The 19,674-nt window shown below is 57.4% G+C and overlaps 1 protein-coding gene across 6 annotated transcripts in view, besides 2 other annotated features; it reads right to left on the bottom strand.

Annotated features, from left to right (window-relative positions):
- GSE1 (Gse1 coiled-coil protein) overlaps positions 1–19,674 on the bottom strand; it is a 506,689-nt gene that overhangs the window by 284,040 nt on the left and 202,975 nt on the right. The window lies entirely within an intron of this gene.
- Positions 6,651–7,216: an enhancer, noted in NCBI's record as "H3K4me1 hESC enhancer chr16:85418551-85419116 (GRCh37/hg19 assembly coordinates)". NCBI's record gives its function as "activates a minimal SCP1, AML or CMV promoter by ChIP-STARR-seq in primed H9 embryonic stem cells {active_cell/tissue: H9 hESC(primed)}" and the evidence as "EXISTENCE:reporter gene assay evidence [ECO:0000049][PMID:30033119]".
- Positions 19,036–19,549: an enhancer, noted in NCBI's record as "H3K4me1 hESC enhancer chr16:85406218-85406731 (GRCh37/hg19 assembly coordinates)". NCBI's record gives its function as "activates a minimal SCP1, AML or CMV promoter by ChIP-STARR-seq in naive H9 embryonic stem cells {active_cell/tissue: H9 hESC(naive)}" and the evidence as "EXISTENCE:reporter gene assay evidence [ECO:0000049][PMID:30033119]".

Genomic DNA, 19,674 nt, shown 5'->3' with positions numbered 1-19,674 from the left:
TCAAGAGGCGGATCCCAGGACAAGGATCAAGGGCAGGGAGATGATCTGGGAGGGAATCACGGGAAGGGAGGGAGTGGGGGGTGAGGCTGGGAAGGAAACCTACAGGGGCCACGTTGAACAGGCCAGCTGGGGCCCCTAGGAGAGGAGTTCCCAGGAAGGACAAGGACGATGGGGAGGTATCCACCAACACCTTTCCTTCTTGGGCTGGAGTGACTCCTGGGGACACCCACCTCCTAGCATGTAAGTTGCAGCCTGCATGAGTCAGGGCAGCCCGGGAACACGTTCCAGCATAGCAAGTCCAGAAGCCACAGGGTTCTATAGAGCCATCTGCAGGTGAGCTCGGAGATTGGTGGGGGACATGCCAGTGAGGCCCCACAAGCATCTACTCCAGTGACCTTGGGCACACATGTCAGCTTGAATAATGTCCCCACCCCCAATTCATGTCCACCCGGAACCTGTAAATGAGGTCTTGCTTGGAAACAGGGTCTTTGCAGATGTCATCAAGTTAAAATGTGGGCATATTAAATTACGACCTGCGTCCTTATAAAAAGAGGGGAATTGGGACATAGACACAGAGGAAAGGCGGCCACGTGATGACCGCAGACACTGGAGTGATGCTGCCGCAAGCCAAGGAATGCTGAAGTCACCAGAGACTGGAAGAGGCAGGAAGCATCGCCGGCTGGACCTGCCAGGCAGAGTGTGGCCCTGCCAACCCCTTGATTTTGGACTTCTGGCCTCCAGAACTGTGGGAGAAGAAATCTTTCAGCTCCCCAGTTTGTGGTACTTTGTTACGGCAGCCGCAGGGGACAGATATCACAAGTCACTACCACTCTGTGCCTCAGTTTACTCAATTGACAAAAGGGATAAAAATGCCTGCTTCTTCGGGTGGGTGCGTGGGACATGCATTAATGCCCGAATGTGTTTGCACACTACCTGGAATGTCACAGCTCTGTGCCACGTGGGCTGCTGGGACCATTCTCATTGCTGCTGTGGGTCTGCCTTGCTCCATCCTGTTGCTCCATCCTAGCCCTCTCTTGGAGGTGCTGGGGCTGCCAGCTGGGGCGGTGGGGGGGCGGTGCCTGGGAGCTGACAGCATCAAACCAGCTAAGCAGCCCCAGCCAAGGAGGCTGGCGCCTTGTCCTGTCAACTCCCAGGGCGCAGCGGCGGAGCCGTGAAGGCACTGCAATAAAGTGGACCGCTATCAGTTCCCCGCGTTGCCCGGCCCCTCTGCTCAGCCCTGCCCAGAGCTTGTCATTCTGCCAGCATGACGCATCTCCAAAGTGCAGACACAAAAATGTAATGTCATAACATTCGCAGTCCAATAACCTTTGCTTAAGGAGACAGCTCTGCCTGTCAGAGGAGCCGGGAGGTAAATATTTCAGCAGGCAAGGCCAGCACGGGGTTCGGGCTGGGGCCAGGCTCCCAGAGCTGGGCGGTGGCGGGGAGGGGTGGGGGGGGCAGAACAAGGCGGTGGGGGGGACAAGGCGGGGGTACGGGAACACTAGCGTCCAAGCTCACCCCATTTAAAATATCCGCACAGTAAATCCAAGGTGAGTGAGCAGGAGAGGCCAGAGCCAGGATGAAATATGAGCAGACATAAAGCCCGACACCTTTATTGTTCTGAAATGTCTTCCAACAAGTTATAGGACCACAGCTTGACCCTAACCCATCATATTGTTATATGGAGGGACACGAAGCTAGCTCTTAGAATTAGGGCTCAAAGGGGACTAGCTGCCCCGGCCAGGCACAGCCCTGGGGGGCACGGGTGCCCCCCACTTAGCAGGAATCTGACCCTGATCTTGTTGCCAGAAAGCAAAGGAGGCCCCGTCCCCGTCTGTTGCTGGACACCTCCCCTTGGTCACTTGAGTGATGACCCCCACCCCAACGCCAGCAGAACCGTGCCTGTGACCGCACAAAGCTACAGGCCGTGAGTATTTTGGAGCACCTACTGTGTGCCAGCGACTGTCCCAGATTTCAGGGACACAGAAGTATGTGTAAGAATACACAGTTCCCTTTGTACAACTATTATGTATCCATCATAACTACAAATAAATAATTTTATAAATAGATAAAGAAATAATCTGTACTTTCTAGGCCTGATCTGCAGCTGAATCCCAGCCTAGGCCCCGAGGTCAGCTGCTTGTGCTTTCTTCGCTTTCTCTGTCCCTTCTCAAGCTTCAGTCATGCCTCACTTTCCCCTGGGGTAAAACGAGACGAAGAGCCTGACTCCACGGGGTCTGTGTAAGGCCTCATTGCCCAGATCCGCTAAGCGTGGGCCCACCTGCCATGCAGCTGTTTGCAAGTGACGCCCCTCTCTGGGCCTCAGTTTGCTTATCTATTAAATGGGGGCAATACTAGCACCTGCCTTGCAGGCTCGTGGGGATTCAATGGGTTAGTTCAGGTAAAGGGCTCCAAGCAGGAAGGGCTTCAGTGATTTGTTAGGATTATTCTTCTGTATATGGAAGAGAAGACCTTGGGGGCTCAGCCGTGAGAGCAGGAGGTTCTCTCTGCTTGAGGCTTTCTAGGACAGTGACAAATGGTGGGAGGGATGGAGGACAGAAGCAGAGACATGGCCACGGGAAGATGCTTTGCACATCCTGGTTTGCACCACCTGCATGCAAACCAGATGAAAATAATGTGACCCCCACCCTCAGCCCCTGGTATGACCCTAGCAGCCACTTTTTTTTTTTTTTTTTTTTTGGAGACAGAGTCTCGCTCTGTCACCCAGGCTGGAGTGCAGTGGTGCAATCTCGGCTCACCGCAACCTCCCCCGCCCGGGTTCAAGTGATTCTCCTGCTTCAGCCTCCCGAGTGGCTGGGATTACAGGTGCCTGCCACCACACCCAGCTAATTTTTGTATTTTTAGTAGAGACGGGGTTTCACCATGTTGGCCAGGATGGTCTCGATCTCCTGACCTCAAGTGATCCACCCGCCTTGGCCTCCCAAAGTGCTGGGATAACAGGCATGAGCCACTGCCCCGGCCCCTAGCAGCTTCTTAATGAGGTTCTGCTCTATCAGAATGCCTCAGATGCTGCCTGGCCCCCATTGCTGGCCAGTCCCTCCTCTCCCCAGGACCTGGCTGGGGGGCCTCAGAGCCTGAGCTCCTTTTCCCAGTCAATGAGGGCCATTCCATGGTTCAGAGATTACCCTCAACATCGTGGAACATTTCTCTCTCTTTTTTTTCCTTCATGATCTATTCCCAAAGAACACTTCTTTACCTTGTAGGATTCAGGACACCTATGATTTTCCCTGGGGATTCCCCATCTAACCACAACCTCATCACCCAGTCACTTGTCCTGGCTCAATCCAACCCCCAGTGCAGAGCCACCAGCTGCCCCACTTCTTCACCAGTAGTCAGAACTGAGTCAAGGGAAGGAAAGAAACCCAGATGTTGCCTGCCCTTTTTCCATCTTTCCTTCCTTCCTTCCATCCACCCATCTATCCACTCATCCACCCATCCATCCATCTACTCACCCATCTACCCATCCATCCATCCATCCATCCATCCATCCATCCACCCACACACCTATGTATCCATCCATCCATCCATCCATCCAACCATCCATCCATCCACCCACCCATCCACTCACCCATCTACCCACTCATCCATCTGTTCATCCACCCATCCATCAATCCACCTATGTATCCATCCATCCATCCATCCATCCACCCACCCACCCACCCACCCATCCACTCACCCATCTACCCACTCATCCATCTGTTCATCCATCCATCCACCCACCTGTGTATCCATCCATCCATCCATCCATCCATCCATCCATCCACCCACCCGCCCATCCACTCACCCATCCATCCAGCCATACATCCATTCATCCATCCATCCATCCATCCATCCATCCATCCATCCACCCACCCATCCACTCACCCATCCATCCAGCCATACATCCATTCATCCATCCATCCATCCACCCATGTATGTATCCAACCATCCATCCCTCCATCCATCCATCCATCCATCCACCCACCCATCCACCCACTCACCCATTCATTCACCAATCCATACATCCATCCATCCATCCGTCCACTTACCCATCCACTCACCAATCCATCCATCCATCCATCCACCCACCCATCCACTCACCCATCTACCCACCCATCCATCTGTTCATCCATCCATCCATCCATCCATCCATCCATCCATCCATCCACCCACCCATCCACTCACCCATCTACCTACCCATCCATCCCTTTATCCATCCATCCATCCATCCATCCATCCACTCACCCACCTATCCACTCACAAATCCATCCATCCACCCACCCATCCAACCAATCATCCAATCATCCGTCCATGCAAACATACACCCATCCATTTTCATTCACCCATTTGTCTAACCAATAAGTACTTACTGATCACCTACTTTGTACCAAAGCACTATCACTAATGTGTTCTGGTGACATAGTGAACTACACAGATGAATGAGTTCTCACAAAGCTTATGTTCTAACCAAGGGAGAGAGATGTTTAAAAGAAGAAAATCAATGAACAAGACAGTTTTGGATAGTTGGTGATAAGCAAGAGGAAGAAAGCAACCCAAGGTAACATGAAAGCAGGTGATGTCCTGGAGGAGAGGGGCCACCAGGTCAGGTGATCCTGGAGGGCCTCACCAATGAGGTGACATTTGAGTGAGGCCTGAAGGCTGGGAAGAAGCCAGTCCCGCAAAGTTCTGTGGAAAGAGCATCGCAGGCTGAAGGGACAGCAGATGCAAAGGCCCTGGGGCAGGACCACAGAGCAGGAGCCACAACGGCTTCAGCATGCGTGGGGGGTTGAGGAGGGGGGCTAGGAGGGAGGCTGAGGCCAGACCTCGCAGCACTCCCAGCGTTCCACAGCCTGTGGCAAATGGCAAGGCGTCGGGAAAGTGGGGGGTTCTGGGGAGTCACTGGGCGTGAGACTCAGGAGAGGCCTGGGGCTGGACCATGGGTGCAGGGGGCTCCCACCACCCTCCTTAGGCCCGGTGTCCGTTGTGCACAGCACCCTGTGCTGGACTCCAGTACCTGTGGCATCTGGGCTGGAAGGGCCATCTAGAAACCACGGTGGTCGGGCAGTGGCAGGGGCACCCCACTATCACTCCTTTCTGTCTTTCAAGTGGTTTCTGAGAACCTCACGTTCAAATTGTCAAGAACTCAGGGAGCTGGTGCTAGAAGACCCTGTGTGATGCTGCGTGGCCCCAGGGAGCCCCAGAACCTTCAGTGGGAGCTGTCCAGTTGTCCCTTCCAAAGTCCACCCAGCCAAAGCCAGCAGCCAGGGCCACCCCAAGAGGCACCCCAGGAATGGCACCCTGGCCCCTTCCCTCCCCTCCAGCACCCATAGGGTAAAATCTGGTAACAAGAACTCCAGGAGAAGCCTCTGGAAGGGGTGTCCCAGGAGGGCAGCATGGCGGGGGAGCTGTTTCCAGCACCCACTAAGTGAGGTCGACTTTCCTGACCACTGACTCAGGCCAGCCTCCTTCCAAGGCGTTTCACGCACAATCGTGCTGAACACTCGGGTCACAAAACTGAGGGAGGCCCAGAGAGGGTTTAGCATCTCCTCCAGGCCACACAGCCGACACAGCTGGGACCAGAAGCCATGCTCTGAGCCACCACTATGACAGTGATGATGAGAAGGATGACAATAACCACAGACACCGCTTCTGAGGCAGTAGGTGCCCAAGCTGCCAGACATAGCCCGTCATGGCGACAGCTCACCCTATCATCTCAAACCCCCGTGCGTTACGTCATATCTTTATTATTGTCATTTTGCCTATGGGGGAAACTGAGGTAAGATGGGGCAAGAGACTTACTCATTTGCACAGTAAGATGGCATGACCAGGTTTGACCCAGGCAGCATCCAACTCCCCACCTAGAGTCAGCCGTCCATCCTGGTGTCAGGCACGCAGGCAGGATGCATTGGGCCAGGCACCTGCCACGGCGTCAGGGCCTTGTTCAGCTCTGCTGGCCACAATGCTGAGCCCAAACAGGGGGCAGGGCGTGGGAGGGTTCCACCTGAACCACCATATTTAAACAGGGTGGGAGGGGGTGGTAGTCTCTGAGCCAGTGACCCCTCAACCCTGACCTGTCACAGAGAGGCCTTGACCAGAAGCGCCGCTATCCCATGGCCACGGGAGGCCCAGACAGCCCCGCAGAGTGATGCCCTCCCTGGGTGTACCCTCGGGGAATGGGGGTTCGCTCCCTGCCCACCCCTCCCCAATGGGGCTTGAGCCAGGCCTGAAAGCACCCCATACCCCTATCTAGCCCACACCCAGGTTCAGGGCTGTGCACGCCCCGTCTCAAGCTGGAGCTGGAGCTGGAGCCGTCCTGGCCCGGGGGTCACCCGCGGTCATTCTTAATGGCTCCCCTCCCCCTGTCCAGCTCTGTCTCCACCAGGGAGTGATCTATGACCCCATTACCGCCGAGGCCTCGGAAGGGCTCCAGGATGGATGGCCGGCTGCCTCGCGAGAGCGGGGAGGCGAAAACACGTGCAGGTGAAAAATGAACTTCATCAGACTCCCCGGGTCTCATGACCATCTGTCAGCAGCCAGGCTGGCCCTGGGGGTGCCACGGGACTTGCTGGGTGCAGAGGCTGCGGACACCCCTCCTCCACCAGGGTTCCACCTCAGCCACAAACTCCGCTTGGCTTCCTGCCCTGCTCCCCAGGGCCCCCGAGAAGGAGCTGTCTGCCACGGGTAGTGGTGGGAGGCAAGTATGTCCCACCCAGCCCGGTCTCTGTGTGGCTTTGAGTCTCTGTCCAGGCGTCTGGCCCCCTCTGCATGGTGACTCCAATAGTGGGGGCCATACCACACTCTTCTGGGAGCCCTGGCCTCACACACAGATGGCGTCAGGGGCAAGGGGCAGTTGAGAGGAGCCCTGCCTGCACCTGGGCCAGAGACGCACAGCTGATGTGACTCCCCTTCTCCTCCCAGCCTCCTGCCCCGGACAAGCAGCCACAGGCTGGAGGCACCCACCCCAAAACACCTGCTGCGGGTGCCCTGCCCCAGGCACCCATCCCAAGCCCCATGTGGCTCGGCCCAGGGTGGCACAAAGGGCTTCCTTGGCGAGAACAGACTTGTCTCCTGACTGGCGGAGCAACAGGGCCCGGGGCAGGTGGCGGAGCCAGTGAGACTTTTATGATGGGAAGTGTTTCTGAAAGCATCTGGCCGAGCCAATCCGAGGCCAGGGCGGGCGGGGCAGGTGTGCACAGCACGCTAACCTGCTGGGTCTGCGGCAGGCCGGATGCAAGGCCGGATCTCCTACCTGCTTGGCTGCTTGCCTGAGGGCCCCCAGGGTGCAGAAAAGCCCAGCAAGACTCGGACAGGCCTGCTCTGTCCCCTCCTGTGTGTTCCCTCCTGGATCCTGGCGCTGGAGGACCTGTTTCCAGTCCTCCACGCCTCCATCAACATCTTGTCCCCTCAGGAGAGCCTGGGCTTCATTAGCTGGAGCTCATCAAGGTCCCTGAAGAACAGGGCTCTGAGGCATCCAGAACAATCCACCCACACGCCTGGCCGTGAGTTCCCAGCCCTTCTGTAGGCTGAGCCACCGCCTGCACAGGTCCCAGCTTGCAGGAGAAGGGAAAGTGAGGCCCAGGGGCAAGGAACAGTAAAGGAAACCTCCCTCATGATGCCAGTCGGCACCATGTGTACAGGCCTGGTGCTGCACACACTGCAGGACCCTCTGACACATCTGGCAAGGTCTGGGATTGGGGCTATCCTTGGTCCCATGTATAGATGTGGAAATAAAAGCTCAGAGAGGTTGAGAGAATGGTCTGAGGTCACACAGCCAGTAAACAGCAGAGGTGGGAGGAAGTGGAGCCCTTGGCCCATCTGCCACGCTATGGGCAAGGGGGAGGTTCTCCAGCCCTCCCAGGATGGGCCGCTCGCCACCCGGCCGCACCCACACAGAGCAAGGCACGTGTGTTTCTTGCTCCTCTCGGAGAGGGTCTCGGGGCCCCCATCAGGAAGCCTGGGCTGGGCAGTCACCTGTCCGTGTTCACAATAGCACCTCCCTCCCCTCCTTTGAGTCTGTGCCCCCCTGTAAGGGGAGTGGCATTGATTGTGCATAGCAAGGCCGGAGGGTCGAGGGAGACGTGCTCTCTGGAGCAGCCTGGAAAAAGGAGGCTCTGCCCATGTGGATGTGATCACTGGCCTGAACTGGATTCTGGAGGGAAAGCCCAAGAGGCTTTGAAGCAGTCAGGGGTGGCGGCCAAGCCCCTGTGAGGATGGCCAAGGATTGAGGACAGCAGCTCCTGGGCCAAGGACACAATCCTGTGGACCCCATGCCACTGGCCCAGAGACCAGTGGTCCACTCTGACCCCAAGCTCTGTAGGAAAGAGGTCTGTGTGGTCCTCCCATTCTCGGCTGGATGACTTCCTGCCTTCATGGGGACCCTTTAACGGTAGACCCCTCTTAACCCTGCCAGGGTCAGCCACCCTCACGAGCCAGCCACTCTCTCCTCTTGGCCTCTGCTCCCCTCCCCAAGTGGACAGACACCCATGAGGCAATGAGAGGGAGGCAGGAAGAGTCCATGTGGTCGGCTTCTGAGGAAACTCATGGTCACCCAGGCTGGTCTGGAGGAGGAGGAGGAGTATGAGTGTCAGAGAGAGAGAGAGAGAGAGAGAGAGAGAGAGAGAGAGAGAGAGAGACGCAGGTGTGCGTGTGTGTGTGTGTGTGTGCTGGGAGCTCTGCGTGTATGTTCAAATGTGTGACAGACTGTGTGTACATGTGAATGCGTGCGTATCTATGTACAGAGGCTGTGTGTGCGTGTGTGTGCATGTGTGTGAGTGTATGTGTGCTGTGTGTATGCAGCTGTCTATTGGGTGCAGGTGTATGTCACGGTGTGTGTGTGCTGAGGACTGTGTATGTACATGTTTGTGCACATGCATGTGTGCTGGGAACTGTGTGTATGCTCAAGTGTGTGACAGGCTGTGTGTGCATGTGAATGTGTGTGTTTATGTACAGAGGGCTGTGTGTGGATGTGTGTGTGCAAATGTGCACTGTGTACCCAGGTGTCTACTGTATATATGGGTGTGTTATGGTGTTTGTGTCAAGAGCTGTGTGTGGGTGCACAGGCATGCTTGTGCACTAAGGCTGTGATTACATGTGTGTGTGTGCGCACATGCATGTACACGGTGTGTGTGTGCATGTGTGGGTGCAACCGTGTGTGCATGTGTTGTATGTGCACATGTGTGCGTGTGAGCGTGCATGTGTGTGCACGTGTGTGCATGTGTACGTGTTGTGTGCGCGTGTGTGCATGTATGTGTGCACAAGTGTATGCGTGTGTGTGCACGGTGTGTGTGCATGTGTGCTGTGTGTGCACATGTATGCATGTGTGTGCATGAGTGTGTTTGTGCATGTGTGTATGAGTGTGTGTGCATGTGTTGTGTGTGTGCATGCATGGGTGTGCATACATGTGTGTGCACATGCTTGAGTGTGCACATGGCTGTGTGTGTGTGTGCATGTGTGAGGTGCCATGCTCTTGATGGCCTGGGGCTTCTGCTGTTATTTGGCAGTGCTTTGGCTCTGGATCTGCTTCCCTGCTCCCCATTCTGTCCCTCCCATCTTACCCAGCATCTCCGGGTGTGGGCTCCGAGCCCGGGCACAGGCAGGTACCCCCTGCTTTCAAGGGCTCTGCTGTCTCATCGGGAAAGTGAGGGGCAGACCACGTGCATCTTCCCAGGGTCCCTCCCAGCTGTGTGACTGGGAGCGATTTTACCCAATTCTGCACATTGCAGGGGCAGCGGGTCACCATGTGGCCTCTGAAACAGAGGAGCCCTCGTCCAGGGCCTATGGACCTGATTAGCCTTGTGTGGGAAGCAAATCCTGTCTCAGAGGGTCTGGTGACTACAAGGCGGCCGTCCCTGCCCCCACCACAGTCACGGTTTGCAAGTAAAGGAAGAGCCCAGACACTGAGATAAGGGCGGGCTGGAGAATGACCAGGACGGGAGATCAGGCAGGGGAGATGAGCCATCGAGGGCCGCCTGAGCGAGCCCCGGGCCCCAGCAGCGATGTGTGGCCAGGAGATAACCACATTGCGTGGGGGTGACTGCCCGGCCAGCCCAGGGCCGCAAGATTGATCACAGCGGAGGAGCCAAGAGACCACAGGAGATCAGATCAACAGAAAGCCGGGGCTCTGTGGAGCTCCAGGAGACCTGAGAGCCAGCTTGGCTGACAGCCTGCACGCCTGTTATTTATTCCTGGGCCTGGGACCAGACTTCCTCAGGCACTCTGTGAGCAGGCCTGGAAGCCTGGCCCCAGCCCGGTGAGATGCCCCCAGGCGGGTGTCAGGCAGGGGACCCTGACAGGGAGAGGCTGCCCCTCTAGCTTGCTTTGCAGTGACATTTCTGTGAACAGATGCACCGGCCTCAGGGTCACCCAACAGCATCCTGAGGAGTGATTTGCACAAGGGAGGCCTCCTGGGCCTGCAACCCTGAGAAGCAGTTCCCAAGGGCCGCTCAGACCTGGTGGCCTTGATGCCAAATTACTACACTGACTAGTGAAAGCCAGCAGCATCTGGCTGCCTGGTTCAAATCCTGCCTGTTAAACCCACATAGCCTCAGTTTGCTCATCTGTAAAACGGAGGTAACAGTACCTCCCTCTTAGTGAGGTTATGAATATTAAATTGGCACCCAACAAGAGCTACGTATGTGCTTGTTAAACAAAATGAAAAGGATACCGTGGCCTATCAGATCCCCTCTGTGGAGATCTATACCCAGAAGAAGGGAAAACAGGTGTTCAAGGACCAATTTGCACACTCATGTTCCCAGCAGCATTCTTCACCATAGCCCAAACCTGGGGACAGCCCAAGTGTCACCAACAGAAGGACAAATACATAACATGGGGTCTATCCACACAATGAAATATTATTCGGCCATAAAAAGGGATGAAGTTCGGATTCGGGCCGCAACGTGGATGAACCTGGAAGACACCACGCTGAGTGAAAGAAGCCAGACACAAAAGGCTACAAACGGTACGATTCCATTTCTGTGAAACGTCCAGAATAGGAAGATTCATAAAAACAGAAAGTAGATCGATGGTTGCCAGGGACTGGAAAGGAAGGTGGGGGAGTGAGGAACGGCAGAGCTAATGCGTCTGGGATTTCCTTTTGGGGTGACGAAATGTTTTTGCACTGGACGGAGGTGGTGTTTGCACAGCACTGTGAAGGTCCTAAATGCCACTGAATTGTTTGCTTCCAGTTAATTTTGTGTTAGGTGAATTTTACCTCAACTTTAAAAAATTAAAGTAACACGCATTGCAAAGACTTTACCAGGGCTCACCGCGTTCCCATGCCCACTGGAAATTCACAGCTCCCCAAAGAAAATGCAAAGACCAGGGAGAAGGACGGTCTCCCAGCTTGGCAGGGCGACACTCCCTTCAGCTGGAGGAGCAGCGGAGGGCTGTTTGCGAGGCTGGATGATGGATTGCGGCTTGATGCAGGACCCCCAGTGAGTATTAATTAGATCTAATTAGGTCCGGGGCCACGCCAAATGGAGCCAATTTGTTAACCTTGTTGATGTCAAGATTTCAAATAGCTACCGTCTAATGCAGAGCACAGATCAAACGTCTGAGATGCCACACTAAACCTCGACCATGAGGGATGAGAGGCCTCCCCCGGCGGGCAGTGTTGGGAGCTGGGGGTACCAGGGTGGCGGGTGGAGGGGGGGTGTCCTCCCACCTTGCCTCACCCTGCTTCTATCCTGTTTCACCAAATGGTTCCCTACGCTACAGATTCATCACCTGCTGAACAGTGGGGTTGGCCAAGGGCTCAGGGAGGATTTAGAGGGTGGTTTTAGCACTGCCACAATTTAGATGAGGCCCTGGAGTGCCACCTCCTCCCCTCTTGGACTTGTCTCCCTCTGCCTCCAAGAAGACCTTAACTACTCTCCTTTGCGTCCTGGAATCTTTCAAGTCACAGCCTCCACCTCTCCTCCTCTAGGGAGCCCTCCCAGACTGCCTCAGCCACATGCCCTAATCCTTGGGGTATAAGAGCCCTGCCCGCCCAGCTGGACTTGATGATCCCTGAGTACAAAGGATCACAGCTGTTCACAGCTATGGTGAATGTCCAAGTTCAAATTAGAGAGTTATGACCCTTTTAGCCCATCAGAATGTTCTAGAAATGGCAATGCTTGGGCTTCCCAAGGCCAAACACCTGCTGTTCTGTCCTTGGATTTGGAAATTAAAGCCCCTTTGCCCACCATGCTTGGCAGGGCAGGGGTAGGGTCTTGGTAGATGTTGTCTGGGGCAGCCTGGCATGGACAGGCAGGCCAAGGGGCCAGCTAATGGCTACGTCTTAGAACCAGCAAAGGTCTTCTCTTTGGTGACCTTAGGCCAGGGAGCAGGAGCTGGGGGAGGAGCACAGCGATCTGCTTCCCTCAACCCCTAGGCCATGGCTGCTGGGCTCTGGCAGGGCCCAGGATCCAGTAGCAAAGGAAGTGCACAGCCAGGCTGAGGGGACTCCGGGACTCCTGGCGCCCCTTCAGTGGCCTGGCAGGGAGCAGGGTCCAGGCCCAGCTGTCTGACCTGCAATGGAGGGAGGGGCCACAGGAAAACGTACCCCAGGAGCTGGGCTGCTGCTTCTAAGTAAGACCTTGGATGGTCCATGAGAACCCAGGGGTCCCAGGAGACCTGAGCTGTGCTCACCACGGGGTGAGGAAGGAACCAATACATGGAAGCACCTACTATGTTCCAGGGAGACCTCCTGGAATCTTCTCAGGAGCAGGGAGGGGTCTGTGGGAGAAGAGGAGGGGAAGACCACTCTGTGTTCTCCCTTCTACATCTGACAAGGTTTTTCCGAGGGCCACCTCACGGGGCCAGGCACCATTCTAGGCACTGGGGGTGATGGAGAGGAGCAAAACGGATGGAAACTCTGCCTTTCTGGAAGCTGCTCAGCTAGTGTGGACACCAGACCAGGATTGGAGTTGATTGGTGCAACACACTCCCTCTGCCAGATGGCACTGCATGCGGAGGAGGCCCAGCGAGGAGGGTGCTGAGGCCCAGGGAGGGGCAGCCATCGAGGAAGAGGTAGGCCGGGCCCCGGAAGTCCAGGGAGATAGCAGCTCTCTGGGGAGAGTGCAGGGAGATGGCAGCTCTCTGGGGAGAGTCATAGCGGCTCTGTGGGAGAGGTGTGTGGCTCTGTGCATGGTGCAGGCGATAGGTGGCTTGCCCAAGGCTGTCTGGCCAGTGAGACCCAGAGCCAGGATCTGAACTTGAACCTGGATATTTTAATTCTCAAGTCCTCTGGCATTTGCAGGAGTTGGGGAGCATCCAATTTGGCCACCCTCAGTACTGGTTCAGGGAAGTTCTCAAGTGGAGGAGAGGGAGCAACAGCAGAGCCGGGAGGAGACTGCAGAGCAGCACGGGGGTAGCCACAAGGACAGGGACGAAGGTGGGGAGGGGACTGGCAGGTGCTTTCCATCCCCAAGTTGCCTTCCTGGCACTGCCCAGAGACTCAGGGCAGGCACAGGGCTGCAGGGGGCAAAGGTTCGCCTGGGCCTCGGTCTCCTGGTCTCTAAGATGGGTCAGCAACTGTGCCTGCCTCATGAGAGCCATGGGAGGATTCAAAAAATCAATCAGCACGAAGGGCGCCAAGCAGGGCTGCCCTGTCTGGTGAGCGCTGCATGTGTACGCTGTCATGGTGCTGATTATAGAGAGGGAGAGCCTGGGGTCTCTCTGGCCCTGGGGGAAGTCAGGGAGGCTGAGCAGACTTCCCGTGGCTCACAGCTCCTAAGTGAAAGGCTTCCTGCCTCCACCCTCCCACACATGCCCACACTGCCAGGCGCAGGCTGGGACCCCTGACTGCCTCCTGGCACAGAGAGGAGACTGCCCCCAGGAGGCTGCCCCAAGCCGCCTGGCCTGGAGTGGATGGGCAGGCAGCAGCATGGAGGACACCGACCCAGCTGAGGGAGGGGCTGGCGGAACCTGAACATCACAGAGTCCCAGAGGGGAGTCTAGAAGCTTGGCCTTTCTAGAGCCTGCCACGGAGGAGGGAGCCCTACCCCCACTGCCCTCCTCAGCCCTGCCCCAAGCTGGCCCCCACTGGCCCAGGGCCCTGCCCCGAGCCCTGGCACCGGGTGGTGGCGGGGGATGGGGGTGGGGGTCTGTCTCCAAGAGACGTGGCTGCCATTCCCAGAAAAATCCACTTGACCACATGTGTTCCCAAGCCCGGGGTGCAGATGACGGAGCCGATAGAGCCCTTCCTGGAGACAGGGCTGTCTGCAGAAGGCCAAGATAAGGCTGAGAGGCTGCCCAAGGAGCGGCCAGGCCCTGCGGTTTCCCCTGTACCAGGAGGTGGATGCTGGTGTGGACGAGGATTGGGGGCCCATGCCCTCCCCCCAGCTCCTGCACATGTGGATGCCGGGCCATTTGGAAGGCCACCCGCAGGGAGCCTCCTCCTGCAACCCTGCCCATGTTTACAAATCTGGGGCTCACCCTGGGCTAGGCCTGGTGCCGGCCACTCCCGGGAACAACAGAGGGGAGCCCCGGCCCCCTGCCTGCAGGACCTCCAGGTGTCACAGGAAAGCAGGAAGCAGTGGCTTCTGCCCAGGGCATGTGGGGTGAGAACTGCTGCTTACGCTTGCTTACTGTTCCTTCTCACAGTGCCCTCATCATCATCTCATTTAACTGCCTCCAGCCCTACCACATATTCTATCAGTCCTTCCTTCATTCAGATAGACAGCTAAGGCACAGAGAGGGTAGGTAACTTGCCCAAGGTCACACAGCCAGGAGAGGTTTCCATTGGCATCTCTTTCCCCAGGGATCTGAGGGAGCCAGCAGCCCAAACCAGAGTCCTTGAGTTAAGAATTTTATTTCTTGGCAAGGGGGGCCAGGAGCCAAGGGGGAGAACAGGCCAGACCCGAACCACTGGGGGCTGTGCAGCATGGCACCCTGCAATTCAGACACCGCACAGATGCCTGTGGAGAGTGGGATGCGTGACACACCCAGAGAGAAGCACAGAGAGATGTTCTTCTGTCCCCTGAGGACAGAAACGGCTTCCTGCAGCCCCCAAATCCTCAGACCACGTGCGGCCTACCAGGGGTACCCCGTCATCCACAACTGTGCACACACGGCAACCTTGTCAACATTCCAGGCTTACAATAAAAAATAAGGTGATCAGAATTCCAGAACCAAAAATCAACACGTGGTCGGTGAAGGTGGGAGGCAGGCCTGGGTCACTCACACTGGGCAACTCTGGCCAAACGGCCACCCGCGACTGCACAGCGTGCAACCTGCACAACAGGAGGGGCCGTCGGGTAACGCGGGGCCGGGTGTGCGGTGTGCGGTGTGCGGAGGGGTGTGCAGAGAGGCCTATGGCACCACGGACACAGCCTCTTTTCCCAGCAATCCTTGCTGTCCTGTCCTCCCCTTCACAGCCCCCACCTCCATCTCCCAGCCCCAGCCCCCTGCTCTCTGCCCAGCAAAGCCCCCTCTCACTCCCTGTGCAGCAGAGGCACCTGTGGCTTGGCAGGGCCTGTGCTGAAGGGTGAGGGCACAGACATGGCGTCCTCTCTCCCTCTGGGCTGGCCTCCAGCTCCCAGCCACTGTGGTGACAGCCCGCCTCCCACGACTTCGAGAACAGAGCCAGGGCTGTGTTCCTGTGTCTCCAGCCAGGACCACACGCCCGGCAGGCAGGCAGGGAGGGCAGAGCCCCCAGCCCACTCTGCCCACACCACCCGGCCACAGGCTCTTTCTGTGCCCAAATCTGCCATCAAGGAGCCAGGAGGTGGCCAGACCAGCCCGCGCAGCCACCGAACTCACCCCAGCCCAGCCCTAATGGGCCGGGAGCAGAAGGGCAGGGTTCCAACAGTTGCAGTAATCCTAACGGGCAGGGGCACTGTGCCAGGCACCCAGGCACCTCCCCAGGACTAACCGAGGTCGAGCTCCTCGATCATCCCCATTTCCCGGAGAGAGAAACTCAGGCTCAGATGTGCCTGTGGGGTCTGGTTCCTGGGCCTCTCTGCGGCCATCTCACCATGTTCTGCTTGCCAGGGGAGGCAGAACAGCGGGTGCAGAGCTTGTTTGGGCTGGGGATGAAAAGAGAGAAGCCTGGAGTCTGTACCTTCTTTGGCGGGGGTGAGGACCGTGAGGGTTGGGGGCAGTTGCTCAGGCCCAAGGAGAAATCCACATAGCAGAAGGGAGGCCAAGTTGGAGTGTGGGGTCTGGTTCCCTGTGGGAATTCCAGCTTCAGAACTGCTGGGCTGCAGCCAGGCCCCCGGCACACCTGGGGCAAACCTCACACGTCTCTGAGCCTGTTTCTTCACCTATAAAATGGGGCTGATGGTGGAGTTGACATGCGCACGAGAGCTGGCATGCAGTAGGCACTTAATACATGTTCTTTCCCTTCCAGTATCTCACTTGGTGAAGGGGAGAGAGTCACAGGGGCCAGGGTACTGGAGGCGGGCAGTGTGGCTACGGAGCTGCCCCCGGGAGAGACAGGCAGGCCTGTGTGGTTCCCTCGCCTGTGCTGGCCCAGCCTGGGCTCATGGCGCTCTGGGTGCTGCCTGGGAGGTGCCCGGCGAGGGAAGACAGAGTCAGAGGTGTCCAAACTCCAGTCTCCACCCCAGCTTCCCCTATACCTGCTTGAACACCAGCAAACCCACCGCTTAAGCCCTGCATGGCCCCAGGCAGGCTTGGGGGTCTCAGGGTCTTGGCATCCGGCTGCCCTGCACCCCACCAGCACTGGTGCTGCCCAGCTGTGGCTCTTTGTGACACCCGCTGCTTCCCAGATATGGGGGCTGGACTGGGTCCCACCTTAATGGGCGCCCTGGGCCTGGTGAAGATGAGGCGGGAACCTCCCTCATGGCTGCGGTCCTGCTCATCTGAGACTCCTGCATTGCCCCTCACCTGGGGGAGGTGAGGTGACTTGGCAGGGCCAAGGCATGGGCTCTGGGTGGCCCGAAAAGGCACCTGGGGCCTGGGAGGTGACACTGGGATCCAGAAGCTCCCAGGCAAGGGGATTAGTAATGACAAGAGTGGCAGTGACAGGCAGGGTGCCGGCAGCTCGCACAGCCTGAGCTGGGTGTCCTGAGGGCCTCGCACCCCAACTCACTCTATCCTACAGTCCCAGCCCGTGAGGGGCTGCTGACTCCCCTTGATGGCCGGCAGCAGTGCAGAGAGATTAGGTGGCTCATCCAGGTCACACAGCAGCGAGTGGCTGCGCCAGGATCAAAACCCAGAACGCTGGGGCCGCAGCCCTGTTTTCTACCATGACACTCGGGGGCAAAGGGGTGCCCAATTGGGATGGCCTCGGCCCCAAAGGGAAGGCACAATGTCACCATCACCAGGAGGAGTGACGAGAGGAAGGACTGTCTTCGTCCCTCATTTGTCTTCACCCCACAGAGGATGGGGGCTGTCCGTCCTCAGTGAGGCAGAAGGCAGCCCAAGAGGAGGTTGGCGAGGGTCCCGAAACTGCGTGGGCGCCTCCCTCCTCCACAGCCCTCACCAAACCAGCAGCTCGAACGCATCCACTGGGCCCATCCACCCCCTACCCCCTCCAGGGTCATGGGCCTGGCTGGCTGCCAAAGCTATTGCCTCCACGCTACTGCCCTCAGCCTGGCCATGGCAGCCACACACCCTGAGACCTGTACATCACACCACACAACACGCTAGGAGCTACCTGTGCACGCGCGCGCGCACACACACACACACACACGCACACACTGACACACATTATACACTGAGAGCCACACACCCACACACAATCATACATGTGCACACAAAAATGCACATGGACACAGACACAGACATGCACACTGACACACACTGCACACGGAGGGCCACACACAACCACACACATACACAATGACACACACTGCACACCGAGGGCCACGCGCGACCACACAGAGGCACACTGACACACACTGCACACCGAGGGCCACACACAACCACGCACATACACACTGACACACACTGCACACCGAGGACCACGCACGACCATGCACAGGCACAATGACACACACTGCACACCGAGGGCCACGCGTGAACACACAGAGGCACACTGACACACACTGCACACCGAGGGCCACATGCAACCACGCACATGCACACTGACACACACTACACACTGAGGGCCACGCGTGCACACACCAACACATACAGCACCACACACATACACACTGAGAACCACATGTGCACACAGACACAGGTACACAGATTCATGTGAACCTGACACATGTGGACACCCACACACATACGCACATGCAGCCACCGTGGGGCGATGGATAAGGCGCCGCTGACCTGACAGGGCCTGCGGGGAGCGGGGAGGGAGGCCGGGCGGGTGCCTGGAGGCTGCCGCTCATGAAAGAGACAAAGAGACTGGCCCTGCCGTGGCGGTGGTAACCGTGGGGCACCGTGGGGCAGGAGCACAATCACCCTGCCCTGGGCTGCCTCGGGGATCCAGGGTCCCCAGGCCTGCCGGGAGAAGGCGGCCAGCGCTCATTCATTCGCCCTTTCGTCCCTCCACCCACCCGCCACACACCTGTTCACTCCAGAATCTCCCTGGAGCACCTGCTCTGAGCGGACTCTTCCAGGCCGTGGCCAGCATACCTGTGGCCCTCCCAGACACTCACTCCAGGCTGGGAGGACACATAGTAGCGATGCGGTCACTGAATCCCTGCTATACACAGTGCCCCAGCCCATTCTCCCAGGGGCCCCGGGAGGCAGCTGCCACAGCATCCCTACTTCACAAATGGGGAGACAGGCTGAGCTGGAAAGCAGCGGAGGGGGAGAGGTTCTCGTCCCCTCCCCTCCTCTGCTCTTCCCTCCCTTGCTTTCTTTCCATTTTTTGTCTGTTTGACAAGAGAAGACACCAGAGACACCCAAACAAACAGCCCATGATAGAAGACATCAGAGAAGGCACCCCAACAGCCTGGCTGTTTGAGACAAAGGGGTGGAGGGAGAGCGCGTGAGAGTGGGGGATCCCAGCATGGAGCGATCCATCCCTGGGAGCACCTCGAGGCAGCTGGGCCTGCTACCAGGCGCCTGGCACCCACCCTGGTGGACAAGGAGCCGGCATCCCATGGCCACATTGGCTGCTGCTGTTGCTGACACCTGCCTGTCCTGGCAGAGGACCTGGGCCTAGAAGGCCACAGCCCACTGCCCTCACAGTCAAAGCCGTGCAGGTGATTCTGGAGAACTTCTGCATGTCTCACAGTTTAGAGAACACTTTCCTAACCGGTGGACTTCCTGTAACTGAGGTCAGGATGAAAGCTCTGTGCCACATGGCCTGGCTTTGCAACCCAGCTCTGTGACTCAGCTGACTGGCGGGACGACCGTCAGCAAGTCACTTTTCCCCTCCTCCTTAGCCTTCTCATCTGCAACAAGGGGGAGGAGCCTGCCCACCTCCCAGGGTGTGGTGAGGATTTGGTGAACTGGTGCCCACCGAGGGTGGTGAAGAACCTTGGTATACAGTAAGTGCTCACTAAATCCTGGCGGCTAGGATCCTCATTACAGTACAGATGAGGTGCATGGAGGAACTGGGATCTGGAATCTAAGACCCAGAAGGAATATGGTCTCTTCTGACCTCCACAGACTCCTTGACGGGTTGCACGAATCCTGTTTGAATATGGTCAGGGATGGGGAGCTCACTACCTCGCAGCCAGCCCACGTGCAGAAGGGCACGAGGTGCGCACTACTTGCTAATGTGTGCTTGCCATAGGGTAGTGTGTTCTTTTTTTTTTTTTTTTTTTTTTT

Source organism: Homo sapiens, chromosome 16 (genome assembly GCF_000001405.40).
Source record: "Homo sapiens chromosome 16, GRCh38.p14 Primary Assembly".
NCBI classification, from domain to species: domain Eukaryota; kingdom Metazoa; phylum Chordata; class Mammalia; order Primates; family Hominidae; genus Homo; species Homo sapiens.
Note: the sequence above shows the minus strand (reverse complement) of the source record. Positions and strands in the feature narration are given on the sequence as shown.